At 48.7% G+C, this 27,700-nt stretch overlaps 1 protein-coding gene, 1 long non-coding RNA gene and 1 pseudogene across 18 annotated transcripts in view, besides 4 other annotated features; 1 reads left to right on the top strand and 2 right to left on the bottom strand.

Annotated features, from left to right (window-relative positions):
• DLG3 (discs large MAGUK scaffold protein 3) overlaps nt 1-22,195 on the bottom strand; it is a 60,656-nt gene extending 38,461 nt beyond the window's left edge. For 4 of the 16 annotated variants that reach the window (XM_006724625.3, XM_011530883.2, XM_006724626.3 and 1 more), the window contains exons 1-9: nt 21,472-22,195; nt 18,067-18,117; nt 17,547-17,671; nt 17,171-17,340; nt 16,725-16,861; nt 16,247-16,391; nt 15,004-15,163; nt 13,237-13,393; nt 12,714-12,816 (exon numbers count right to left, since the gene is read on the bottom strand). In XM_006724625.3, coding sequence (XP_006724688.1) covers nt 12,714-12,816; nt 13,237-13,393; nt 15,004-15,163; nt 16,247-16,391; nt 16,725-16,861; nt 17,171-17,340; nt 17,547-17,671; nt 18,067-18,117; nt 21,472-21,828 — 1,405 coding nt within the window. In that variant the 5' untranslated portion in view covers nt 21,829-22,195. Of the gene's footprint in view, nt 1-10,927; nt 11,244-11,766; nt 11,854-12,713; nt 12,817-13,236; nt 13,394-14,274; nt 14,739-15,003; nt 15,164-16,246; nt 16,392-16,724; nt 16,862-17,170; nt 17,341-17,546; nt 17,672-18,066; nt 18,118-21,471 lie in introns of those variants that run through there. The other 12 variants (NM_020730.3, XM_017029322.3, XM_017029323.3 and 9 more) reach the window with 7 other exon arrangements.
• DLG3-AS1 (DLG3 antisense RNA 1) lies at nt 11,036-14,074 on the top strand. 2 transcript variants are annotated; one of them, NR_109801.1, is made up of 2 exons: nt 11,036-11,085; nt 13,724-14,074. It is a non-coding gene; the product is annotated as a DLG3 antisense RNA 1 (long non-coding RNA). The 2 variants fall into 2 exon arrangements; NR_046586.1 differs by lacking the exon at nt 11,036-11,085 and adding an exon at nt 11,204-11,286.
• Nucleotides 11,826-12,252: a silencer, noted in NCBI's record as "fragment chrX:69674628-69675054 (GRCh37/hg19 assembly coordinates)". NCBI's record gives its function as "represses an EF-1alpha promoter that drives an FKBP-Casp9 reporter gene in an ReSE screen in K562 erythroleukemia cells {active_cell/tissue: K562}" and the evidence as "EXISTENCE:reporter gene assay evidence [ECO:0000049][PMID:32094911]".
• Nucleotides 11,859-12,088: a silencer, noted in NCBI's record as "silent region_20892". NCBI's record gives its function as "represses an Ori minimal core promoter by ATAC-STARR-seq in GM12878 lymphoblastoid cells {active_cell/tissue: GM12878}" and the evidence as "EXISTENCE:reporter gene assay evidence [ECO:0000049][PMID:35858748]".
• Nucleotides 14,481-14,570: a silencer, noted in NCBI's record as "silent region_20891". NCBI's record gives its function as "represses an Ori minimal core promoter by ATAC-STARR-seq in GM12878 lymphoblastoid cells {active_cell/tissue: GM12878}" and the evidence as "EXISTENCE:reporter gene assay evidence [ECO:0000049][PMID:35858748]".
• RNU4-81P (RNA, U4 small nuclear 81, pseudogene) lies at nt 16,008-16,151 on the bottom strand (annotated as a pseudogene).
• Nucleotides 21,891-22,677: an enhancer, noted in NCBI's record as "H3K4me1 hESC enhancer chrX:69664203-69664989 (GRCh37/hg19 assembly coordinates)". NCBI's record gives its function as "activates a minimal SCP1, AML or CMV promoter by ChIP-STARR-seq in naive and primed H9 embryonic stem cells {active_cell/tissue: H9 hESC(naive and primed)}" and the evidence as "EXISTENCE:reporter gene assay evidence [ECO:0000049][PMID:30033119]".

Raw genomic sequence — 27,700 nt, 5'->3', positions numbered from 1 at the left:
GAGGCAGGAGGATCACATGAGCCTAGGAGTTTAAGGTTCCAGTGATCTATGATCATGCCACTGCACTCCAGCCTGGGTGACAAAGCCAGACCCTGTCTCTAAAAAAATAACAAATACAAAAACAAAAATATTAAATAACTAGAATAAAACTCGGACAGTATTTATTTGCCCTCGGGTAGGCAAGGCCCTTCTAAACCTCTGGGCACAGGCAAAATATACAAAACATTAATAGATTTGACCACATAAAAACATATGAAACATCTGTACATCAAGATAAAATTTAAAAAACAGGCTGGGCGCAGTGCCTCACACCTGTAATCCCAGCACTTTGGGAGGCTGAAGTGGACAGATCACTTGAGGCCAGGAGTTCGAGGCCAGCCTGGCCAACATGGTGAAACCCCCTCTCTACTAAAAAATACAAAAATCAGCCGAGTGTGGTGGCGCACACCTGTAGTCCCAGCTACTCAGGAGGCTGAGGCAGGAGAATCGCTTGAACCTGGGAAGCGAAGGTTGCAGTGAGCTGAGATCGCACCACTGCACTCCAGCCTGGGCAACAGAGCAAGACTCAATCACAAAAAAAAAAAAAAAGAAAGCAAACTATAAACTGGGAGTAGTCTTTGCAATATATATGACAAAGAATTAATATTCTAACCATATTAAGGCTTTTATATATCAATAAGAATTGATGAACCCACCCCAATAGGGAAATGGGGAAAGGGTATGAACAGGCAATCCACACACACACACACACACACACACACACACACACACACACACACACAAATGACCAAGAAACACTTGCACACAAATGTTCAACCCTATTATTAACAAAAGAAATACAAATTAAAATACAAATTAAAGAATAACATTTTTAACCTATCAAATTTACAGAAATTGTCTTAAAAAATAATACTCCACATTAGTGAGGATCTTGAAATAGACATTCTTATACTGTCAGTGGAAATGGAAGCTAATTGGCCAAATACATCAAAAACCTTAAGTATGTTCATACCCTTTGATCCAATTAATTCCACCTTAAAAAAATCTTTTCGGAACATAATCAGAGATTCACAAAAACCGTATACAAGGGTATCAATCAGAATGTTTTGTGTAATATCAAAACATTGGAAATAATCTAAATGTTCACCAACAGGGGAATGGTTATACGAATTATGGCACACACATGATGAAATATTATTTAACTATTAAAAACCATTTTTTTCAAAAAATATATGGTGATCGAGGAAAATGTTCATGACATAAGTTAATGGGAAGAACATAAAACTGCTTAAAGCCAATAATCTCCTTCTTAAAACAGATAGATACAAACATATTATATGATATATGTAATATAAATATATAAAAGTTTAGAGGGAAATACACAGAAATATACACATACAACAGTGGTTATCTCTGGATATAGTTTTACAGATGATTTGAATTTACTTTACTTTGTATTTTTCTGTATTTTCCAATTTTCCACAAATCTAAATGTAATATACTTTTAAATGCAGGAGAAAAATATAATTTGAAGAGAATGGGAAAGTAGACTGAACAGGACAGGCTCAAGGACAAAGCCAGGACACACATGCACTAGAAACTTCTCTCCACACTGCTCCTGGCTTCATTAATCATTTTCCTCTGGGACTATTCATTCAACCAGTTCCAGACAAGTCCAGTTAAACATATTATCACCATTATCACCCAGCCATCTTATCCAAAAGTAGACCAAAGAAGTTTTGTGAATGCCTTGCAGAAATCTAGATATAGTGCATCTACCGTATTTCCCTAATCTACAGCCCAGTAACCCTGTCCATCAAGAAAATTTGATCAGGCTGACAAGACTTTTTTGTCCTTGGTGAACCAATACCAGTTCCTAGTGCTCACCACTTCTTTTTCTGAATATTTACAAAACAACTCTTAATCTACCCTGGAATTTAACCCAAAATTTGCAAAATTCTCTCCTTTTTGAAAATCCAAAGGACGTCTACTTAGGCCCCTAATGTACATATTTATACAAAATATGTTAATTTTCTACTCAAATTTTTTATCACTTAATTTCATCAAGTAGAAAAATCATAAAATCTCTAGGGCCTTTGCTTTTTTAGCACAGTGGTGCCATCTCAGCCCACTGCAACCTCCGCCTCCCAGATTCAAGAGATTCTCCTGCCTCAACCTCCTGAGTAGCTGAGATTACAGGGGTGTACCACCACGCCTGGCTAATTTTTGTATTTTTAGTAGAGATGGGGTTTCACCATTTTGGCCAGGCCGGTCTCGAATTCCTGGGCTCAAGTGATTCACCCTTCTGGGCCTCCCAAAGTGCTGGAATTACAGGCATGAGCCACCACACCCGGCCTGCTTTTTTAAAGATACCTAAATTCAGCAAAAAATAAACAAAAGTCCATTTCAAGAGGGGAAGACAAGACCCTCATAAGCAAGACTGTTACTAGCTCAAGACTGTGAGTCTTGGCCGGGGGTAGTGGCTCAAAGCCTGTAATCCCAGCACTGCTGGAGGCGGAGGCGAGGGAATCACTTGAGCTCAGGAGTTCAAGACCAGCCTGAGCAACATGGCAAAACCCAGTCTCTACAAAAAATACAAAAATTAGCAGTGTGGTAGCATGCACCTGTAGTCCCAGCTACCTGGCAGGCTGAGGTGGGAGGATCACTGGAGCTCAGGAAATTGAGGCTACAGTGAGCCATGATCACACCATTGCACTCCAGCCTGGGTGACAAAGTGAGACAAAAGAAAAGAGAAAGGAAAGAGAAAGGAAAGGAAAGGAAAGAGAAAGGAAAGGAAAGAGAAAGGAAAGGAAAGGAAAGGAAAGGAAAGGAAAGGAAAAAGAAAAAAGGAAGGAAGGAAATAAAAGTCTATGCTGGGTGCAGTACCTGTAACCTTAGCACTTTGGGAAGCTGAGGTGGAAGGACTCCTTGAGCCCAGGAGTTCAAGACCAGCCTGGGCAACATAGTAAGATCTTGTCTCTATACAAAAAAATAAAATTAAAATTAAAATTAAAAAAGGGGCTGAGTGCAGTGGCTCACTCCTGTAATCCCAGCACTTTGGGAGGCCAAGGTGGGTGGATCACTTGAGTCCAAGAGTTCAAGACCAGCCTGGGCAACATAGCAAGACCCCATCCCTAATTTAAACAATAAAAGAGTCCAGGTACAAATAGGAAATTGTAAATTGAATTCACAACTCACTACCACTTATCTGACACAGAATTTGAGGTACACACTAGTGACCATTTTGCACAGTCTCCTCATTTTATAGATCAAAAAATTGAGTCCCTAAGAGGAAGGTTGACTAGTCTAAGATCATTCAGCTACTCTAAGTCAGAACCCAGGGCCTTGGCTCCTCTGCCAAGATTTTATATATATATAGATTTCATACATATATACATTCTCACATAAAAGGAGCAAAACCGATATATTTTACAAAAAACAATTACCCTATTGTGCAATATAAGACTAAAGCTTTAAACAAAGGAACAGTGTCAATATCAGAGTCAAGATTTCAACAAGCAACATATTAAACCAAAAAGAAATCCTAAAAAGCTACAGTTAAGTAAGAAATAACTCATTCTCAGGCTTGGCACAGTGGCTCAAGCCTGTAATCCCAGCACTTTGGGAGGCCGAGGCAGGTGGATCACCTGAGGACAGGAGTTCGAGACCAGCCTGGCCAACATGATGAACCCTCATCTCTACTAGATATAAAAAATTTGCTGGGCATGGTGGCACATGCCTGTAATCCCAACTACTTGGAAGGCTGAGTCAGGACAATCACTTGAACCCAGGAGGCAGAGGTTGCAGTGAGCTGAGATTGCGCCACTGCACTCCAGACTGGGCAACAAGAGTGAAACTCCGTCTCAAAAAAATAAAATAAAATAAAATAAAAAGAAATAACTCATTCTCATTACTGTTATTCTAATCATTCTACCCTATCAGGAAAAACTGATGTTTTACAGACACCAAAGCTCCTAGGATTTTGCCTCAAACCATCTAACAAAGACGAGAAAGCACCTGACCAGCTAAATTCAGAGTGCTTTACTAAATCTAGCACCATGTCCTTGGGTTACATAGAATAAAGAAAAGCCCAAAACAAACACACACATATGAAGTTCAGCTCCAGGGGGCAAAATTGAAAAGAAAACGTAATCTTTTTTTCTTTTCTAAGTATATAGAACAGGGCTGGGCCTAAAAGGGTGTAGCTACTTTTAAAAAAAGCCAGACAGTTCCTCAAAAATGCTAAACACTAAGTTACCTATGACCTAGCAATTCTACTCCTAAGCATATATCACCTAAGAGAACTGAAAACATGTTCATACAAAAACTTGTATATTAATGTTCATAGCAGCAGTGTTCACAATAGTCAAAAGGTGGAAACAACCCAAATGTCCATCAACTCAAGAATGGATAGACAAAATGTGGCATAACCATAGGATGAAATATTGTTCAGCCATAAAAAGTAATCAAGTGGCCGGGTATGGTGGCTCGCGCCTGTAATCCTAGCACTTTGGGAGGCTGGGAGGCCGAGGTGGGTGGATCACCTGAGGTCAGGAGTTTGAGACCAGCCTGGCTAACATGGCGAAACCCCATTGCTACCAAAAATACAAAAAATAGCTGGGCATGGTGGTGCACATCTGTAGTCCCAGCTACTCAGGAGGCTGAGGCAGGAGAATCGCTTGAACCTGGGAGGCAGAAGTTGCAGTGAGCCGAGATCATGCCACTGCACTCCAGCCTGGGTAACAGAGTGAGGCTCTGTCTCAAAAAAAAAAAAAAAAAAAAAAAAGAAAGAAAGAAAAAGGAATTAAGTACTGATACATGCTATAACACACATGAATCTTGAAAACATTATGCTAAGTGAAAAAAGCCAAACACAAAAGGCCACATACTGCATGATTTCATTTATATGAACTGGCCAGAAGAGGCAACTTTATGAAAACAGAAAGTAGACTGGTAGTTGCCTAGGGCTGGGGGGGCGGTGGGGGGGGGATGAGGAGTGATTGCTAATGGGGTCAGGGCTTCTTTTTGGGGTGATATGTTCTAAAATTGATTGTGATGATAGTTGCACAACTCTAAAAATTCTAAAAATTGTTGTACCCTTTCAATGAGTGCATTGTAGCATGTGAATTATATCTCAATCAGCAATTTTTTGTTAAAAAGGTAGGCCCTTGGCTGGGCATGGTGGCTCATGCCTATAATTCCAGCACTTTGGGAGGCCGAGGCGGGCGGATCACCTGAGGTCAGGAGTTCAAGACCAGCCTGGCCAACATGGTGAAACCTCGTCTCTACAAAAATACAAAAATTAGCCGGGCATGATGGTGGGTGACTGTAATCCCAGCTACTTGGGAGGAGAATCCCTTGAACCTGGGAGGCGGAGGTTGCAGTGAGCTGAGATTGTGCCATTGCACTCCAGCCTGGGTGACAGAGTGAGACTCTGTCTCAAAAAAAAAAAAAAGGGGGGGCCCTATCATTTTTATCAGATCAGCATTCCTAAGCTAAAATTATCTACGCCCAAAGCCTTAAACCCCCCGAGCACACAAAGCAGTGAGAAGTAGTTATCTTCCTGGTTCTTTCTAGTTGCCTAATAACATAGTTGGCTTGCTCTGGTCTCAAGTCAATTTGGAAACAGAGAGAGAATCAAGAGAATCAAATCAGGGGACGAAGCAAAACAAAAGTGAATAGCAAACAATAAGCACATGAAAAATGTGCAACATTAGCCATGGGGGAAAATTCAAATCAAAACCGCAATTAGATACCACTTCACACCTACCAGGATGGCTAGAATCAAAAGGACTTACAATAACAAGTGTTGGGGATGATGTGGAGAAATTGGAACCCTTACATACTACTGGTGGGAATGTAAAATGTTGCAGCCTAAATGTGGAAAGCAGCCTGGCCATTCCACCAAAGGTCAGAGTTGTCAAATGATCCAGCAGTTCCACTCACAGGTATGTATACTCAAGAGAAATATAAACATGTCCATGCAAAAACTTGCACACAGATGTTCACAGAGCATTATTCATAATAGCAAAAAAGTGAAAACAACCCAAATGTCCATCAACCGATAAACAATACGTGGTATATCCATATAATGATATATATTCAGCTATAAAAAGGAATGAAGTATTGATACATGTACAACACAGATGAACCTTGACAATATTATGCTAAGTGAGAGAAGCCAGTCACATATTATATGAATCTAGTTATATGCAATGTCCAGATTGGGCAAATCCATAGAGACAAAAAGTATAATAGATTAGTGGTTGCTTAGACATGAGGGGGATGGGGAGATGAAGGGTGACAGCTAAAGCGTACAGGGGTGATTAAAATTCTAAAATCAATTGTGGTGATGGCTGCACAACTCTGTGAACATTCTAAAAACCGCTTAAGTATACTCTTAAATGAATGAATCGTAAGGTCATAAAAAATGAATGACAAATACAACTCCATTTCACTTGAAGAATTAAAAAATGAATGCTTGCTTATTCCATTAATATCCTTAAGCCTGCACACGTTTACTATTAAGTCAGGCAAACCAACTCCCATCTTTTGGCTCCTCCTGGGGTTCCCCCAACAGTATCATTCCCTGGTAGTCTTCCTAAATCCACTTTCCTTCTGCCTGAGAAGGGATCTCCCTCAGGCTTCCCAGCAGGCCATCTACCCTCAAGTTACTTCTTCCTGTTTATGGTCATCAAGACTAAAAAGCTGAGATTTGGGAGTTTTTTTTTTTTTTTTTTTTTTTTTGAGACAGAGTCTCAGCTCTGACACCAGGCTGGAGTGTAGTGGCACGATCTCAGCTCACTGCAACCTCCACCTCCCGGGTTCAAGCGATTCTCCTGCCTCAGCCTCCTGAGTAGCTGGGACTACAGGCGCATGCCACCACACCCAGCTAATTTTTGTATTTTTAGTAGAGATGGAATTTCACCATGTTGGCCAGGATGGTCTCGATCTCTTGACCTCGTGATCCACCCACCTTGGCCTCCAAAAGTGTTGGGATTACAGGTGTGAGCCACCGCGCCCGGCCTGGGAGTTCATTTATACTGCATTTGTTGACAGCTTCTGGCACTTGAAGAGTCTCAGAGTGATATCTTCTGCTGTAGCCAGATGTCTCTGGGTAGGGAGATAGTTGTGGCCTGGTGACAAAAGCCCTGGACTCAAAGAAGTTCTCCAGAAATCTGTACTCAAACTTTTATTCTGTCCCTTACAGACTTGTGTGACCCTGAGCAAGTCACTCAACCACTCTGACCCTCACTTTCCTCATTTGTAAAATGGGGATAATGCCACCTAATCCACAGGGATATTCTGAAGATTAATGCTTATAAAAGTTATCTGAAACAGAGATAATAATTCAACAAACTATTTGCCAGGCTCCATACTAGACGCTGGGGACACAAAGATAAATGTAATACTAGCTGCCTTCAAATTGTTCACAGTGTACAAATGCTGCTGATAGGAAATCATTTTCTTTCTTCCTTACCTTGCCTTCTTTTAGGATGACAACGGGAATTTCAGAACTTTGACTCCCTGCCTTGGTATACTCTCACCTTTGTGCTTTCAATGCTGATAGGATAGCAGTTACATTTACATCCTTCATTCTCAAAAAGGGGGAGATAGAATGGTTACTTAAATGTTATGGGGAAAATATCCCTTTTATGCTTTCAAGTTATTAACACCACTGATTTCTAACTCTTCCAGGCCTTACCCAAAGGTGTTTCCATGGTAAAAGTATGCTTATTCAGCACCTTAAAATAACTTACAGAAATACTCTCATTCTCTCTCACTCCTTGTACCCCCAGCCTGCCTGGATTTACATTCCCGAAAAGACTGGTCATAAAGGATCATTTCCCAGTTAAGCTACCTTAATGACCAATTTCTGGCTCACCTCCTGTTTTTGAGATCAGTTTCTACTCTAAAAACAAAAGGGCTTTCAAGAAAAATACTAGATCAGTTTATAAACAGAGGCTGATATAAAGTCACTACGGGGAAAATGTAGGAGATCTCAAAATGTTCTAACACATAACCCATCCTTCCCTTGGTGGGACAATTCCACAAGTCACAGAAAAATATTTTTCATTTTAGAATAGATTTTAAGAGAGCCTTTGCCAAGAGCCAGTTGTTTAAATTTTCAATTGAATTTTAAGCAGTATTATACATGTCCAAGAACATCATGCTATTTTTAGCTAATAGGTAGGATTGCTGTGTCCATAACCGTTTAGAGCAATCAGGAGTGAAACCACTAAATAGTATCTCTTACTGTGGTATCTTATCATTTAGCATTTCTATTTCTATTTTAATATTTTCCAAAGCCTCATCATAAAAACACCTGTAAAGCACCCATGCTGGGCACAATACAAAGTTCAAATAGAAAGACACAGTTCCTATACTTCATTATGGGTTAAACCCACATTAAGCAAACCAGGTATTTGAAAGAATCTTGGCTGGGCATTATGGCTCACGCCTGTAATCCCAGTGCTTTGGGAGGTCGAGGTGGGAGGATCACTTGGGCCAGGAGTTCGAGGCCAGCCTGGGCAATATAGTGAGACCCTGTTTCTACAAATAAATTAACAAATAAAAAAAGAATCTCACAGTTAGAGCATTCTCAAGTTGCCACCAGCCTCTAAGTATCCAGAGGAGGAACATTAGGAAGCAATTGTCCTAAACCCATCATCTTTCTAATGCTTGCACACCTTTTATGTATTAAAAGAAGAGGGGTAAGGAAAATGTTCTAGGCCGGGAGCGGTGATCCCAGCACTTTGAGAGGCCAAGGTGGGTGGACTGCTTGAGCTCAGGAGTTCAAGACCAGCCTAGGCAACATGGCAAACCCCTATCTCTACTAAAAATACAAAAATTAGGCTGGGCATGGTGGCTCACACCTGTAATCCCAGCACTTTGGGAGGCCAAGGCAGGAAGAATGCTTGAGCCCAGGAGTTCAAGACCAGCCTGGGCAACATGGTGAAACCCCATCTCTACAAAAAATACAAAAATTAGCCAGGTGTATTGGTGCACACCTATAGTCCCAGCTACTCAGGAGGCTGAGGTGGGAGGATGGCTTGAGCTTGAGGGGCAGAGGTTGCAGTGAGCCGAGATCGTGCTACTGCACTCCAGCCTGGGCAACAGAGCCTGACACTGTCTCACACACACACACAAAAAGTTTTAGGCCGGGCACAGTGGCTCACTCCTGTAATCCCAGCACTTTGGGAGGCCGAGGCGGGCGGATCACAAGGTCAGGAGATTGAGACCATCCTGGCTAACATGGTGAAACCCCGTCTCTACTAAAAATACAAAAAATTAGCCGGGCGTGGTGGCGAGCACCTGTAGTCCCAGCTACTGGGGAGGCTGAGGCAGGAGAATCGCTTGAACTTGGGAGGCAGAGCTTGCAGTGAGCCGAGATCGTGCCACTGCACTCCAGCCTGGGCGACAGAGCAAGACTCCGTCTCAAAAAAAAAAAAAAAGTCCTAAAACGTACTGTGGTGATGGAGGCACAACTATACCTAAAGTCACTGAAATATATATCTAAATGAGGAAACTGTATGGTAAATGACTTACCTCTCAATAACACCATTTTAAAAAGGAGACAAATTGTCTTACTCTGATTGTTCTATTAGTCAAACCTATTTTTTAAATCTCTCATGCTAAAGGCTGCACTGGTTTGGCAAAGGTGCCTCAGAGGCCACCATGGAGATCACTCTAACCTTCCCCTCCACATCCATCTTTCTTTCCCTTACACTCTTCCTAGTCTGTCCTCTGTTAATTCCCCAGTATCCTTCCTGTTGCTCCTCCACTTTTAACTAGGTGTTAGGTCCCTCAGGTGTTCACAAGCATGGTCTGTCCCAACTGGTAGACCTCAGGATTAAGCTGATTTGCTGACCCTCTGATGCTGACCTTCAGCAACTTTCCCTTCTTAGACAAGTTATATCTTGGCTCTCTTGTCATTGTTTCAGTATGCACAATGAAGAATTGGACCACTTGATCCTTTCCAGCTCTCACATTCACGTGAAGAAAAAAAAATTCAAGTAATGAACACTTACTTGGCCAATCACATGCAAGGTCTCTTGCCAACCAACATACATGTATTTGGATTATTCATTTTGTAAATACCCACCGTGATGTAATCCTCTGAAGAACCACACTTGTTTATAAATTGATCAACATGGAGTCCTTATTTTTAAAAACTAGCACTTTACCAAAGAAAATTTAGAGCCCAACACAGAATGCTTGACAGTCCCTCTGGACCAGTCTCCAGGGATCTGTTTTCAAAAGGGGAAAAAAAAAAAAGCTTTTGCATGTTGGGGACTTGCTGGATTTACCAAACCAAAGGAGGAAGTAAGATTGATTGGGGTGGCAGAGCCTTAACAACAGTGGTTCACCTAAATCCTAAGAGAAGAAAGGCCTTATTTGGCAAGTAGTAGAAAGAACTAGCATAAAACAGCACCTCAACCTACATTATAAACTCTCAGAAATATGCTCAGAGAGCAATAAACACTGCAGGAATCCCCTTACCCTGGACAACCTGCAGCTTTTTATGCAAGCCAGTTGCATTCCCCTAACAAGTCATAGAAATATGTAGTCACTAGTATCCAGCATACCCCCACCACACACAATTCACAGTATTGTTTCCATGTGCCCAACATCAGAGAGCAAAACCGAAAGAAACATCAATTTCTCCTACAACATACACACACAAATACGCAAGAAAAACCATTTCCTTTGCAGAACCTGTGTTGTCTAAGTTGTGGGCATGAAATGCACAAATATTAGTTGCTAATAAAAATCAGACGGTTAGCTCTGTACTGGAAAGCGAACAGCACACACATAAATCATAAAAAAACAATATCCCTAAGGTGCGTTCCTGATCAGTAAGCTGAAAACCAAACAAGGAGAGAAATGACTCAAAGTGTCCATTTGCATCCCTCTTTCTCATTACCTCAGACCAACAAGCTCTCTCTCCTGTGAGTTACCTCCCTGCACTTCTGTCCTCGATCAGAAGAGCCTCGTGGAAAAGGTCGCAGGCTCTCTCTTCTTTCCCTTCAGGATCTTGAGGCACTGAAGGAGCATGGGGGGAGGGGAACGGAAAGGACAAAGGTAGGCGCTTTCCATCCCTTTCGGCTTGGCGACGGGGCTCCCAGCCTCTCCCCCTCTCATCGCGGAAATAGAGCACCTGCCAGGGAGAGGTCGGTCCCTTCCACCTTAGTAATCGGCCCACAGGGCCTAGGTGTCCCAGGAGCCCAGGCGCTGCAGCCCTAGGGGACAAAGGGGAGGAGGAGGCGAAAGAAGTCGGGAATGGTACGAATCCCTTGCAAACAAAAGGGAGGGGGCAGAATACCAAGCCGGTCGCGGCTGTTCTCAGAGGTGGACAGGTTGGGTGGAGAAATGGGTGTCGGGGGAGGGGAAGATTTAGAAAATTCCTCTAGGGCAAGGGATTAGGGAGCTGCTTGGGGGCGCAGCAGCCAGCAGGAAGGGGGCTGAGGCAGGACAGAGGCCCTGGGGTGAGAAGGGGGCACAGCTCGCTGTGGGGGAGAGGTGATGGCTAAGAGGTGAAGGCCAGACTGGGCCCAGTGTAGGGTGAGGGGGCGCTGAGCCCCGCGCGGCGCTCCGAGGGGCCCTGAGGAGGGTCTCAGAAGGAGCCTGGGGGCACGCAACGAAGGCATTCGAGGGAGAGGGCAGAATTGGGGCACGCAGTGTTGGAAAAGAGGCTGAGAACAGAGCCGTAGAGAGGTTAGGGGGGACTGCGAGGGGGCCTGACCCCCGTCCGCCCCACCTCACCTGGCGCCGGGTCGGAGTCCAGATCTAGTGCTGAGAAAGCGCCAGCTCCGGCCAGTCCCTCCGTCCCGCGCGGGAGACCACGGACACAAAGCGGGGCGCGCGGGAGGAGGGGAGGAGAGAGGAGGGGGAAGGAGGGAGGAGGAGGAGACGCCTGAGGCGCGCGATGGGGGGAAGGAGGGGCGCCTGCCGCCCTCCTCCTGGGTCAGGGGGCGGGGCATGCGGCTGGAGGCCGCCCTCAGCCGGCCAATGGCCACTCCACTGGCCCGCAGGCTAGGGCGCGCCTTCCCGCGGCTCACCTCGGCACCTGGGCCTCGGTTGGCCCCAGCCAATCAAACGCCTTTATTTGCATGACCAGCCCCGCCCATTCGCCCCAGCCAAGGACTGCTCACTGAGAATACAAAGAAGGCCCCCCGGAGGGGAGGGAGTCGACTCCAGTTGGCCTATCCCAAGGGCATAGTATCACCTTTTCAGCGCGTTTATGGGTCTTTCACGGTCATCTTGATGAGGGGAGGGGAGTGGGGGTCACAGAGGTTTGGCCCAAGATCTCTTAAGAGGTCGGATCTCTTCTACCTGAGGTCCTTCTAACCAAGAGCTGCTCTCCTCTTCCAGGGCACACAGTTCCCAGTCTTCTCCTGTGGGCCCTCCGCCCCCTCCCCTTTTTCCAGTCGCCCTAATCTTTGGATGCTGCTTCCAGTAGGCTGCTGCCCACTACTGGCCTTCTCCTGCACTGCAGCCCACATCAGCAGGCTCTGAGCACAGCCTTAATTGATGCTTTCAAGCCGCCCAAACCAACCCCTACCCAGCAGGAAAAGGAGAGAGGAAGAGGTTACTGCTCTAGGTAGAAGGGACCTGGTCAAGTGGCTTTGTTACCTAGGATGGCAAAAAGCCAACACATAATATAAGTCTAACTCCCCCACATCATCTCTTCCCACCTTCCCTTCTCCTACCTTCAGGTCTGTACTGGGCCACAATGGTGACTGACTGGCCGGCCCGTTTCAGAGCAGCTGCAGCCTGCTCATGAGTTGCATTCCTCAGATTCACTCCATTCACCTGTCCAAAGAGAGAAGCTGTGAGCCACCCCAAAAGCAAGAAAGAGGGTCCTCTGCATTAGCAGTTAGGAGAGGGAGATGGGTACCCCACCCCTAAGCCTGTTTAGATGCCTTTCCCAATATTCCAACCTTGCCCCTAAAACAAGGCCTAAAGGATACGACATCTCTAGTGTAACAATTATCTTCATAAAGGTCAAATGCCAATCAGGGTTAAGATCCAATAGGCATTCATTTCCTCTTCAAAGATAAGTCTAGTCCCGGTCCCTGTCACTAAGGATGTCTATAAAAACAAGAGAAGTTTTCTCCAGTCCTTAGCCCTCCCTTCATCTCAAGAAGCATTCCTCGGAGGAAGTAAGGTCTCTCGCTCTCCATTTTAGACTGGCACAGTTCCCATCCTCCCACCTCTCCTTTGTCTCCTCACCGATAAGATCCGGTCTCCCCTGCGCAGCTCCCCACTCAGGTCAGCTGGGCCTCCTGCCAGGATGAAGGAGACAAAAATGCCTTCTCCATCCTCTCCTCCTACGATGTTGAAGCCCAGGCCTGTGGAGCCTTTGTGCAGGATGATCTTGCGAGGCTCTCTGGTGGGAAAGGAGTGGAGGAGTCAGGACTAGGTAGATATGGACTGTTGTCCTTTGAGGGCCAGCCTGGAACAAGGTCCATACTTGCTGTAGGGAGTAAGGACGTGGTTCCCTATGTATGATACCCTGAGCCTCCCTTTGTCTCCTGAAACCTGCTTGGCTGCTGTTCTGTCAGGTGCCAAGTTTCAGTTCCTCTTCCCTCCCTTCTTCCCGAGGGCTTGCAGTCAACTTCCCAGTGGACAGTCCCCTACTCTCTCGGGTGAACAAATCCCTACCCTGAACTCCAGAGACCAAATCTCAGGCCCACTCACTGGTCCTCTTCCTTCCCAGATTCTCCTATCCTACCAACCCGTGTGATGGACCCTGGACCACAAGAAGAGGAAGCAGTTAGGGGCAGTGGAGTCACCCTGGGGTTGACTGCACTCATCATCCACAGGATGTGCACACTTACTTCACAGACACTCTTCTGCAGTCTCAAAATCTCACCCATCAACTATGACCCCTCCTACCTGCTGCCCCAACAACATATTTAATCAGCAGCTAACACTATGTAGCCCCAGGGGGTTGCAGCGCCTGGGTTCTTAGGGGGATCCCAGGTCCCCAAAAGGAGTTTAGAATCCAAACTGAAGAGAGCAGACAAGCACATGAGAAATGCGAATAAAACTAACCACATCTAAGGAAGCCCTCTGTAAAAGGTCACAGTGTCATCCGCCCAACTCCCAGGGCACGTTCCCGGCCCACCGCCTTCACTTGTTACAAGCATCTTTCCTCGGAGGAGCCCAAAGCCCCACGCAAGACTCTTCCTTTCTTGCTCCCAGTCTCAGGGGCGAGACTCCCTCCCTGAGTCCCGGATGCTCTTGCTCCTAGCCCTCCACTCCTACCTGGCATCCCCTCCGGGCCGCAGGGAGCGGAGCGGCCAGGCCCACCTCTGCGAAGCCCTCCTCCAGGCCGAAGCGGAGGCGGAGCCCAAGCCCATGGCCAAGCCGGAGCCCGAGAACTTGCGGGCCCTCTCCATAGCTCCTCTCTCTCTCCCCTGGCTGCCTACCCTTCCGGCTCCACTGCTGCCTGCCCGCCAGCCTCTCGGGCCCCACCCTGCAAACCTGTCCCCCGGAACCCCAGCCGGCCCGACCAGTTCCAGGCCCCGCGCAGCCGCTGCCGCCGCCGCTGCCGCCAGCGGGGCGGGGCCGTTGCCGGCGAGGCCACCGGGCCGGTCAGAGTCCCGCCAGCCCCACCGGCTGAACTGCTTTCTTCTCTAATTTGAAATGGTTGCAGCAGAGCGGGCTGCAACTATCTCAGGGCAGGAAACTCCGCTGCCCTCGCCTCCTCAGCCCCCTAAACGCTCCACCCCATCCTTTCTTTATCTGCACTTTTGGACCGGGGCCACTCACTCGGCACTCCCCCTGATGGTAGAGCTTGTCCCTGCAGCCACTTCTGTCCCTCTCTAGGTCCCCAAGGCCTGAGAGAGGGCCTCGGACCCCAAAGCCGGGAGTGATGAGGGCCTTATCCTCTTCTTTGCCATACTACAAGGAGCCTGTGGCCGGCCAGAAACGGATTCCTCCCCTCCCCAATTTCTGGGTAGATTGAATGGGATGTTGGGGGCGGGGTCTTACCTGGTGAAGTCCTCCTCAGCCAGCATGTGCCTGGGAATAGGAGAGTAGCGGGTGGGGGGAACCTGAGGAGGAGCAGGGTAGCTGACCTTGCTCTCCACAGCCCCGAGATAACCCAGGCTGGAATTATGGCTTATGTGGTTGTCAGCCAAGGCAGTAAAAGCTGGAATCAAGAAAGGGAGAGAAAAGTTCAGAGACTGGTCCAGGGAGGTACCCCAAACTCCTCAAGGACTTTCCCCCACACCCCACTTCAGATGCAAAAGAGACCAAGGGATGCTGATTCCTCAGGCCGCACCTCCCCACTCCATCCACCCGCCACCCAGGGTTCCTCCTCCGCAGTCCCTTTCTAAATCCTTGGCTCACTCCTGTGAGTCTTAGAAAGAGCTGAAGTCAAGGCAGTCTACAAAGAAAGGCATGACTAGAGGTGTGACTAATAATAATCCCTCACATCTCTATAGCCTAATACAGTTTTCCAAGGGTTTTCTCATCCATGATCTCATTTGATCCTTGCAGCAGTCCTATGAGGAAGGCAGCACATACATCATTAGCTCCCTTTTGCCAAAGAGGAAACAAAAAACAGGTGAAAGGGACTTGTCTAAGGGCACCCAGCTCTAAGGGACAGAGCTGGGGGCCAGGCACGGTGGCTCAAGCCTGTAATCCCAGCACTTTGGGAGGCCGAGGTGGGTGGATCACGAGGTCAGGAGATCGAGACCATCCTTGCCAACATGGAGAAACCCCGTCTCTACTAAAAATACAAAAAATTAGCCAGGCATGGTGGCAGGCACCTGTAATCCCAGCTACTCGGGAGGCTGAGGCAGGAGAATTGCTTGAACCCAGGAGGTGGAGTTCGCAGTGAGCTGACATCGTGCCACTGCACTCCAGCCTGGCGACAGAGCAAGACTCCGTCTCAAACAAACAAACAAAAAAACAAAGACAGAACTGGGATCTGGACTCAGTTCTGTGCACTATCCTCTGCGGCTTCTCTCTCTCCTCTTTTTAAAATTCACTCTCCATAGAAATTGTCAAAAATTGCCAATGCTGACTCTATGGCAAGTCTTCACGATGGGGTACTGAGCAAAGTTTTCAATTAGCAATAATGGCGCCTCAGATAAACCTTATTGGCTGCTACAGTGCCACCACTGAGCAAAGCTGCTTGCCCTCTCTTAACAAAGGGTATGAACTTCTTCCCCTCCAGAAACCAGGGGACAGAGCTTTAGACCAGGGACAGGGGCTGATGAGTACGTACTGCTGGCGTAGTCAGGGGGAGCGTACATGTCGTTGAGGTGGAGGCTGCCTGGCTTGGCCACCTTCAAATACACCATATCAGATGTGTTCTTCAGTGAGGCCACAGCTTCCTCGTGCCTCACATCCTGCAGATTGGTGTTGTTCACCTAGAAGAGGAGAGGCCTCAGGCTGGGACTTGGAAGAAGGAGAGGCTTCTCCAGGGAACTCGAGGGATGCCTTTTCAGTGAAATTCAACAGCATGCTAACAAAGGCCCAAGTATAGTGCTGTGAGGAGCAGAGGCAGGAGGTAGGGGATAGGGCAAGACCCTGGCCACAGAAAGAATTAGGGCCTTTGTATCTGGGCAAACACAACACAGATGATAACTCTTGAAATTCCCCCATGATGCCTCATCCCTGAGTGAGGTTTAGGCGGAGTAAGGGGTACTGGAGCTCCTCCTCCCTACCCTACCATTTGGGCATCCCCATGAAGTCTGTCTCACCGCCAGCAGCCGGTCCCCAATCTGTAGGCGTCCATCCTTCTGAGCAGCACCCCCCTCAATGATCTTGGTGATGTAGATGCTGTTGTCTCCTGGGATGTGCTGGTTGCCAATACCCCCAGCAATGCTGAAACCCAGGCCTGAGCGGGAGCCAGCAGGAGGTGGGAGAGGGCCACAAGGAGAGGTTAAAGTGTTGTCGATCCCAAATCCAAACCCCCTCCCCCAGCCAACCCACTGGCCCCACAGGAGCTCCCCCCGGGGGATCCAAACGCTAAGCTGCCATCCTGAGATGAGTAAGGGTGAGGCCTGAGGTCAAAAAAGTAGGCTGTGAGTTGGAACAGGGGGAGTCAGGCAAGGAGTAAGGCCATTCCCTTCCAATTCCCTATGGGGCAAGATGGGATCTGGGGCCTAAGGCTCTGGCTGGAGCACAGGAACCTGGAGGGCCGCACCTTTGGGCCCTTTGAGCAGGTTGACCTCCATGATGGTCTCGGGTGGAGGCTGTCGCCTCCGCACCACCAATCGCACCACAGGGCCTGCCTCCTTCAGCGCCTCCACCGCCCGGCTGTGTACCACCTCCGACACGTCCACCTCATTCACCCGCAGCACACAGTCATTCACCCTGTGGGGGAAGCCCGAGAGGCATGACACTGTGCCCCTACCCCTCCACCCCCTCTCCTGCTTCCTCCCACTTCTCTGTCCTCCCCTCCTCTGCCCTCCCACCCCGCCCTCAGATCTAATGGAAGGGTCATCCTGCCAGGCAGGCTTTCCTCCCCTCATCTCGATCCTGTCCCTGCCACCCACAACCCTGCTTCCAGGCCATCTCACCCCAGCCTCCCATCCATGGCAGCTGCTCCACCAGGGATAATCTTGGTAATAAAGATGCCAGGGTCATCAGGGACATGGGGATTGTCGATGCCACCTGCGATACTGAAGCCCAGGCCAGAGTTGCCCTGCAGAAGTGGGTGGAAAGGCACAGTCTGTTCACTCTGAGGGCACAAAGGAGAGTTCTGGGTACCTCATCTCCCCTTATATCCCAGAGCTAGTTCTCCAGGCCTCAGAAGGGGCCATGGCAGGCTGGGCACATTTGTCAGACACCCAGCCTCTGCTGATCATTTTGGGAAACCCATCCCCTCCCCAATTCCCCAGGCCTCAGTGAGCAAGGTCAATTAATATTTGTTAGTGGGTTGATTGATTGATGCAGTGAAGCAGCCTCTGAGGGCCGCTGTTTCACCATCCTCTAAATGCAGGTCCCCCCATGGGTCTTGAAACCATGATTCAGGGGTCTCCCTTATCCTGGCTCCAACCCTCTCCTTCCCTTTCCGCTTTTCCCCACTGGCAGACTCACCCTCTCAAGTACGATTTCCTCATATTTGAACATGCCATCACTGCCATTCACCTAGGGGGAGACACAGGCAGTTCCCTTAGTGCCCCCTGCCCTTCCAGCCATCTGCCCCTTAGTCAACCTGCCTCCTCCCCTACTCCCACAGAGTAGAAGAGCCCAAGTGCACCCCAGGTCACCTCTTGGCCACAGATGAGGACAGGCTGACCTGGAAGAGGCCGCTCCTCACTCACCCCACCAATCCCTGCTTTGCTTCCAACCATATCAGCCCAAACCAAGCTGCTCATTTAGCCCAGATCAATTGTCTGAGACTGAGCCAGCCAGTGGTGCACTCACCGAGAGGCTGTGCTTCAGTGTCTCAGGGTTCACTAGGAGGGGTGCAGGCCTGGCCTAAGGGGGATGGCAGAGATGGAGCATGGCAGGCAAACCATGCCACACCCAGTGTCCATAGGGGATACCCAGTGGCCTAGACAGATAACCCTTCCCCTTCTGAACCACAGTTCTCCCTGACTGGGGGATCATAGACTCCCACTGTGTCCGAACTGGAAGGACAGCAGACATCATCTTGTCCTATCCCCTTTATGTGACAGTAGGTGACACGGAGGCCCAGAGAAGACATGGGATGTGCCTAAGGGCACACTGGGAATTAGTGACAGAGCAATAGGATATCCAGGTGTTCTTTTGATTACAGTAAGCTCTTAAGGCCACTGATGTTTTGGTCACTCATCCCCGTACCCCAGCAGAGCTCATGGGAAAAAGGACAGTTGCCCCACTTTGGAGCACCTCGTGAGTCTTCACTCTATACCTCTTTCTTGGACTCCAGGAACCCAATTCCTCAAATAGGCAGAAGGAGTCAAAGTCCTAATCCATTTTCTACCAAAGGATTTTTGATTCTGAGCCCTTTGTTTTTCCCAGCAGAAAGGGCGAGGGTGGGATCTGGTCAGGAGTCAGAGACAAAGCCACGGGTGGGACTGGAGCAGGGTAGACAAGATTCCCCATGAGGGAGAAGTTGGTGACCCACAGGCTGATTGGCAGCAGAGTCCATGGTTTTCAATATGTAGTAGCCATGCAAGAAGAGGCAAGGGAAGGGGTCAGAAACACAGGGGTGATTTGGCCAACCCACAGAGATGGCCTCCCAGACAGGACATGTGTGTATCTATTTGTCAAGTGAAAATGTGATTCTGGACATACAAGCAGCACCTGCCTGCTGGCTCCCACTTTCACCTCCAAGAATGGAGAAGCCCTCTTGCCTGTCTCCCCAGGTACCCTGGCACCCCTCCCCCACCTTTCTCTGGCTATGTTGTCCCTTCCCTGACCTCTAGCCTCCTCCTCAGAAGTGGGGAGCTGGAAACCAGGGTGGGGGCTCCTCCACATGTCCTGCTGTGCTTCCCCCGTCCCACCTCCACCCCACACAGCTTTGGCTTCAAGAAGCAGAGAGGAGGAGAGGGAGAGAGGACTAGCTCATCATGCCTCCACCATTTCTGGGCTGGCTCTGCAGCTGTGGGAGTTGGTGGGAGGACTCCAGCTACAGCCTTACCCTGGTCTGTGACCCCAGGAAGAAGAACTGAAGGCTCCTTAGAGACCCGAAACCAACACAGCTGCCTTAAGTACCATGCAACAGACACATAAGCAAAGGGACACCCATGTGGCTCTTGTGTGCATTTGGTGTACCATGTGTGCCCACATGTGACAAGCCATGCCTCAAGCCCAGCCCCAGTGGTACCCAGAGGCTTCCCGTTCCCAGTGGTCCACGCTCTAGCCCCCACCCCTACTCAAGGACCTTGTTCTCAGGGCCAGGAGCCATCCAGGGATCAGCCCTGGCAAAGAAACCTTGGCCAACTGGCCCAGCCTGGGATTGCCACCTGTCTCCCAGCCGGGCAGGACAAGCATAAGAGGGTGTTTGCGAGAGAAAGGCCTCCAGGACAGAGAGGGGGCAAAGGAGAGAGAGGGACTCGCTGGAAAGGGCAAGAGGCCAAGGCAAGGGATGTGGGAAAGCAGTAAGTGTGGACAGACAGAAGGCCAGAACTGAGGGCTCTTCTCCCCAGGAAGTCCCCACCTTTGCCTCTGAGTGAGAGCACATCCTATCCCCAGAGGACAGAGGCAGCCAGAACGGTCACCAGCTTGGGGAAGTCATCACCTGCCCTCGACAGCAAAGCCTCCTCTTCCTCTCTCCCCACCCTAGGAGCTGCAGAGCCGGATAACCAGACAGGCCCTCCGCCTTGCGTGCCAGGGACCTGGCTCTGCCAGCCCAGCCTCCATTTTGCTGCTTCTCCCACAGATGCTCCTTCCATTTTCTAAGCTGGCAGTTTAGGCTGGGAGTGGAAGCCGGAGTTGTGCCCAGCACCCAGGGGCTCCCAAGCTGTGCCAAGTCAGGGCTGGGGGGCTAAGCCCTCTCACATCTGGAGGTACCCAAGGGGGACATGCCCCACTGGGGCCAGTCTCTGCACCAGGGCAGCTGCCCCTTGCCGGCTCCAGGCACCATGCCTGCTCTAGAGCGAGGAGGCTTGCTTCAGTTCCTTCAAATCTCCCCCCGCCCCCCGCCACCCCACCCCGGCACACACACTACAGAGCTGCTTGGACAAAAGAGTCCGTCCTTCTCAGCAGCCTCTCAGCCTTGCTTGGGACATGTCTCTCGCCTCCTTCCTCTCCCCTCCCTTGCCTGTCAAGCGCCTCTCACCAGAGACAACACATACAAACACACACTCACACACACACACCAGGCACACGCGTGCACACTCTTGCAGCCACATGCTCACACACATATACATGTAGCCACACACACAAACACAGCCATCCCTGCAGCCTCCTCTACAGAGACCTCTCCACATTCAGAGTGACATCTCCACACATCCATGTGCACATTCACACACAAAGGGACTGGGACGGAGAGGGACTCATGGCATCAAGGGATGAAGCTCAGCGAGCCGGGCACATGGGCTCCTCCACACGGATTCACGGCAGCTCCATTGCCTTCCTCCACACACCCCAACATACATACACACACATATGTCCCCCCTACGCAGAGCACCATGCCCCCTCCCCTCCCCTCCGGTGGAGACACACACCACACACAGCCCCCGCAGAACCTCCCGCCCCCTGCCAGACACAGAGACATTGCCAAACCCCCACACTGAGACAAACCCAATTCCCCCACACAGGAAAATGTGCCCCTCCGCCATGCCCTTACCCCCTGACACACGGCTCCTCCCAGTCTTCTAATGGAGACCCCCAAACAGACACACACAGGGAACCACACATTTCCCACCGCCTCTCTTTGCCCAGCTGCAATGCTAGGGCTCGGGGTCCACAGGCTTGGAGCCCCAGCGACCCCTACTGCATCCCAGGCCTCTAGGCCCCCACTCTCCAGCCCTCCTGGGTTGCCCCACCGCTCCCCCCTCCGCTGGTCCATACCTGCTCATACCAGTCCCGGTTGGTACAGGTGCACTCTGGCCACCAGCTGGGGCCGCTGCCGTTGAGTTTGGGGGTGCTCTTGCCCGGGACTGGCTTAGGAGGCACCGGCCCCACATCCCGGCCGGTGGGGATGAGCTTGGCCTTGGTGCGAGGGGTGGGGGTGGCCCCCGCCTGCGAGGGCAAGGTCTGCGAGCTGTAGCCCCCATAACCCGCGCTGGCGCCGTTGCCCCCACCTGGCCCGTAAGGGTCGGGGACTTGCCAGTCGCCGTAGCCCGGAGGCTCGAGGCGCCGCAGGGCGGCCAGGCGGGTCACCTCATAGCACTCAGGGCACTTACAGCAGTGCTGGTGCTTGTGCATGGCACTGCCCCCCGCGGCTCGGACCCCCCAGCCCACGCCGGATTCCACGCCGCCGCCACCGCCGCCACCACCGCCGCCGCCGCCGCCGGGCTCCCTGGCACACTCACACTGCTCGGACCAAGAAGGGGGGGGCACCCGTGGGGGCGCCCGGGCTGAGCGGGGCCTGGGGCCGGGCGGGCGTCCCGGGGCCTCGGCCCCCACGCTGCCCCGCACCCACGGCTCCCCCTCCAGCACTGGCGGCTCCGTGTCGCCCGTCGTGGCTTCTGGGCCGAGGCCCAGCGGCAAAGAAGAAGCGGGAGCTCAAGCAGAGAATGGGTGCTGTGAGGACCGCTTCTGCTCTGGTCCCCAGGATGGATCTGAGTGGAGTCAAGAGCATCTCTCCCTGGCTCCCTTCTCAGTTGATTCCAGCCAATCAGCGCGCAGAGGCAGGCAGCGGCAGCGGCAGCGGCGGCGGCAGGAATGCTAAACAGCGGCTACTTAAAGGAACAGAGGCAGCGGCGCCCCCAGGCTCAGCCCCAGCTCCCCCAATCTCTAGGGAACTGTTGGCTCTAAGGGCGGGGGCAGAGGACGTGGGCCACCAGAAAGCTCAGGCACCCGATCTTGTGCCCTTATATCGCCAGTTTTAGCCTGTCCTCTGCCCACTCCACCCCACCCCACTTCCAAGAGGGAGTTGCAGGGAGATGTTCAATGGGTCCCCAGGCTTGCTCTGAGCTGGGGCCACCAGAAGTAAAGACGAGGTAGCAGGATGGACAGAAAGGACGTTGGAGCAGGGTGAGGGAGGTGCTTTCTCTTACAGGGGACCAAAGAAGAAGGCAGCATATGAGGCCCGCTGTCCTGTCAATGCCTCCTACACAAGACTATTGTTCTCTCAGTCTCTAGGCCCTGAAATTACTGTGACCTCACACTTGACCTTCTACCATCACCAGTAAAGAACTCAACCCTAGAACAGGGATTAACAGAAAGCTCTAAGTCCTTGTCCCTGGCCCACAAACCCCTATCTCCTCCACTCCACCCCTGCATGGTTATGATGGGGGAAGGAACTTCAGGATATCAAGATGAAAGTCCAGGACAGGTGAAAAGGTAAGAAGGGATTTGAAGAGAGAGAAACCCTTCTATGGGTCTGGAATAGAGCTTAGGAATACTTGTCCAAGGACATCTCCTTACCCTCTCCTGGCTCAGCTTGTCGGGGGAATGGAGGAAGGATGACATACAAGAAAGACTATCTTTTTTGCAGTTCTTGTTTTGTTTTTAGCTACCAATTATTGGGTCTTTACAAAGTCCTAAGTGCATAACACGCAAACCCAAATCCTACCAAGCTGATGCTATTATTATCTTCATTTTACCAATGAGAAATTGAGGCTCAAAGATGTTAACACAGCTAGGTAACACAGCTGGAAGTGACAGAATCAGGATGCAAATCCTGATTATTTGACTCCAGAGTCCACGCTGTGAACCACTCTAGTACGACAGGTCTATTCTAAGTTCTCCTGCAGAATTTACATCTCAGTTCAATTCAGCAAATATTCATTGAGCACCTGCTCTGTGCAAGACCTTGACCTAGGTATTAGGGATACAGAGGTTCTTTTTTTTTTTTTTTTTTTTTTTTGAGATGGATTCTCATTCTGTCACCCAGGCTGGAGTGCAGTGGCGTGATCTCAGCTCACTGCAACCTCAGCTTCCCAGGTTCAAACGATTCTCCTGCCTCTCAGTCTCCCTAGTAGCTAGGACTACAGGCTCCTGCCACCACGCCCGGCTAATTTTTGTATTTTCTTAGTAGAGATGGGGTTTCATCACGTTGGCCAGGCTGGTCTCGAACTCCCGACGTCAAGTGATCCACCCACCTTGGCCTCCCAAAGTGCTGGGATTGCAGGTGTGATCCACTGTGCCCGGCCCTCAGAGATTCATTCTTAATTCAACAAATATGCGTGGAACACTTGCTGTGTGCCAGACACTGTTGTAGGATTTGGGGATATAGCAGGAAACAAAATAAAACAGAACAAACAGAACAAATCCCTGCCCTTGGGGAGCTTACCTCCTAGTGAGAGGACACAGACAAAAATAAACACAATAAATAAGTGAATTATGTAGTACAGTAGGTCCTCATTTAACATCATTGGTAGGTCCTTGGCAACTGGGACTAAGTGAAACAACGTATAACAAAACCAATTTTACCACAGGCTAATTAATATAAACAAGAGCTAAGTTCCTACAGCATATTTCTGGTCACAAAACATCACCCAGCTTCCAAATAAAGACCCAAAACACTTCTGATATTGAACATTGAAATAAATATGAGCTATGCATACATATAGAAAGATTAATGAAAACAAGTAAATAATTACCTAACCTTTGGTGAACCAGTGAGTGACAGCAGTGGAAGTGGTGGTGGGTTGAATCAAGGAATAAATGTATGCAAAGCGAAAATTGTAAGGAGCACCTCCCTACCACCATGCAGTTCAAAAGCAAACAATCACGAATATGGTGAGCTCGATGAGCACTTTCTTACCTCATAGTTTATTGTGCATTTGTATGATTATCAACTACTTGACAAATTTTTATTTTACAGTACTTTGTATCCATCCATCCATCCATCCATCCATCCATTCATTCATTTTTCAATCTGCTTATTTCAGTTCAGGGTCAAGGGTGGCCACAGCCTATCACAGCAGCTCAGGGTACAGGGCAGGAACCAATCCTGGACAGGATGCCATTCCATCACAGGGTGCGCTCACATACACACCCACACTCACTCACACTGGGACAATTTAGACACGCCAATTCACCTAACGTGCACTGGGATGTGGGAGGAAGCGCAGTACCCTGGAATACCCGAGAAAACCCACACATACATGGGGAGAGTGTGCAAACTCCACACAGACAGTGGCTCTGGCCAGGAATCGTTTTAGTTGTTTTTTTTTCCCCCTCATCAATGTTAAAACAAAATGATGTTGAAGAAAACAACATTATTCAGCATATACACCTGCTGTGTATATGGTGATAAGTGCCATGGAAAAAAATAAAAAGTAGAGCACAGTAAGATGGATTGGGAATGGTAGGGGAGGATACCAAGTTGTGATTTTTTTTTCAAGTTTTTTGCCCCCACAGTTTAATATGAAAGTTTTCAAACATACAGAAAAATTCAAAGAATTTTACAGTGAACATCCAATTACCCACTGCCTAGGATTCTCATTAACATTTTGCTATGCTTGCTTTATCATATATCTATCCTCCACATATCCTCTCCAACAGTTTTAAAAATGAAAATTTACAAACATACAAAAATATTGGAAGAGTAGTACAATGGACACCACTGTATGCCTTCCTTATCAAGTCGACAATTTGACTTGTTTTGATTGTTATATTTGCTCTGTCTATGTATCTATGTATCTATCCATCTATCTATATTTTTTAAAGAGTAGGTCTTGCTCACTCACTCAGGTTAGAGTGCAGTGGCGTGATCATGGCTCACTGCAACCTCAAACTCCCGGGCTCAAGCAATCCTCCCACCTCAGCCTCACAAGTGGCTGGGACCACAGGTGTGTGCCACCATGCCCAGTTAATGCTCTATCTATCTATCTATCTATCTATCTATCTATCTATCCCTTTTTCTGAACCATTTACATGTAAGTTTCATTACATGTAAATGGTTCCATTATTCATCTGTAAGTTTTGATAACTTCCTTTAGCCATTCTTTGTCTGCTGGCAACAAATTATCTTAGCTTTCCTTTGTCTGAGAATGTCTTGATTTCCCCCTCATTCCTGAAGGATATTTTCACCAGATATAGCATGCTGGAGTGCAGTGGTGTGACCATAGTTCACTGCAGCCTTGAAACTCCTGGCCTCAAAGTGATCCTCCTGCCTCAGTCTCCCAAGCAGGCTCCTCAGTAGGTGGGACTATAGGCGCACACCACTCCTGGTTAATTTTTTTATTTTTAGTAGAGACGAGGTCTCATTATGTTGCCCAGGCTGGTCTCAAACTCCTGGCCTTGGGTTATCCTCCCACCTTGGCCTCCCAAAGTATTGGAATTACAGGTGTTAGCCACTGTACCTGGCCACATTTGAATTCCTTTTCCTATGTAGGTAAGGTGTTGTTTCTCTCTTGCTGCTTTCAAGTTTCCCATCTTCAGTTTTCAGAAGTTTGATTATGATGTGCCTTGGGGTGAATTTGAGTTTATCCTATTTGGGGTTTGTTCAACCTCTTGAACCTGTTCATTTATGTCTTTTGCCAAATTTTCAGCCATTATTTCTTGAGTAATTTTTTTTAGCCCCATGCTCTTTCTCTTCTTCTTCCACATCTCCAATTATGTGAATGTTAAGTCCTTCGTTATAGTCCCAAGCATCCCTGAGGCTCTGTTCATTTTTTTTTCTTTGAGACTCTGTTTCATTTTGTCACCCAAGCTAGAATGTAGTGGCACAATCACAGCTTACTGCAGCCCCGATCTCCCAAGCTCAGGTGATCCTCCCACCTCAGCCCCCTGAGTAGCTGGGACTACAGGTGTGCATCACCACATCCAGCTAATTTTTGTATTTTTAATAGAGACAGGGTTTCGCCATGTTGCCCAAGCTGGTCTTGAACTCCTGGGCTCAAGTGATCTGCCCACCTCAGCCTCCCAAAGTGCTGGGATTACAGGCGTGAGCCACTGTGCCCAGCTCTGTTCATTTATTTTTTGTCTATTATTTTCTCATTGTTGTTCAGATTGGGTAATTTCTAATGTTCTATCTTTATGTTCACTGATTCTTTCCTCTGTCCTCTCCATCCTCCTTTTGAGCTCATCTACTGAGTTTTTTAGTTTGGTTATTATAGTTTGTTCTAAAATTTTATTTGATTCTTCATTATATCTCTTATTTCTTTGCCAAGACTTACTATTTTTTACATTCGTTTTAACCTTGTTTGTAATTGCTCATAGATTGCTCATAGAAGCATTTTTTTTAATGTTGGCCACTTTAGAATCTTTGTCAGGTAGTTGAAATCTTTCTCTTTCTCATTCAAATTGAGGGTCTCCTGGTTCTTGGTATAATGAGTGAATTTTTTTTTTTTTTAAGACACAGGGTCGGCTGGGCGCAGTGGCTCACACCTGTAATCCCAGCACTTTGGGAGGCCGAGGCGGGTGGATCACAAGGTCAGGAGTTCGAGACTAGCCTAGTCAATATGGTGAAACCTGTCTCTACTAAAAATACAAAAATTGCCTGGGCGTGGTGGCGGGTGCCTGTAGTCCCAGCTACTCAGCAGGCTGAGGCAGGAGAATCGCTTGAACCCGGGAGGCGGAGGTTGCGGTGAGCCAATATTGCGCCACTGACTCCAGCCTGGGCGACAGAGCAAGACTCCGTCTCAAAAAAAAAAAAAAAAAAGGACACAGGGTCTCACTATGTTGCCCAAGCTGACCTTGAACTCCTGGGCTCAAGTGATTCTCCCAACTCAGCCTCCTGAATAACTGGGACTATAGGTGCTGGGCTTAGATATAGAGTGATTTTTATTGCATCCTGGGAATTTTTGGATATTACAGTATGAGACTCTGGATTTCATTTACATCTTTTGTTTCTGGTAGGCTTCTTCTGACACGATTTTCATCAGAGGAAAGGGCCACTGCCTGGTTACTGCCGGGTAGAGGTTCAAGTTCAATTTCCCTCCTTGGTCTTGGTTGGTATGTGTGGTGGAGGCTTCTCCTTTCTACTGTGCAGGGGTAAAAATTCCAGCTCCCTACTATGCCTCTACTGATGCCTCTCTAGCTGGAAGGGGCAGAAGTGCCTTTTTACTGTTCCCCAGGTGGGCTTCCACTAACACCACAGTCAGGAGGTGGAGAGATTTTGGGAGGGGAGGAGAGGGAGGCTAATGGCCTCATCAAATGATATGTTGTGGTAAAAGTCCTGACT

This window comes from Homo sapiens, chromosome X, assembly GCF_000001405.40.
Source record: "Homo sapiens chromosome X, GRCh38.p14 Primary Assembly".
In the NCBI taxonomy this organism is placed as follows: domain Eukaryota; kingdom Metazoa; phylum Chordata; class Mammalia; order Primates; family Hominidae; genus Homo; species Homo sapiens.
This window is presented reverse-complemented; position numbering and strand designations above follow the sequence as displayed.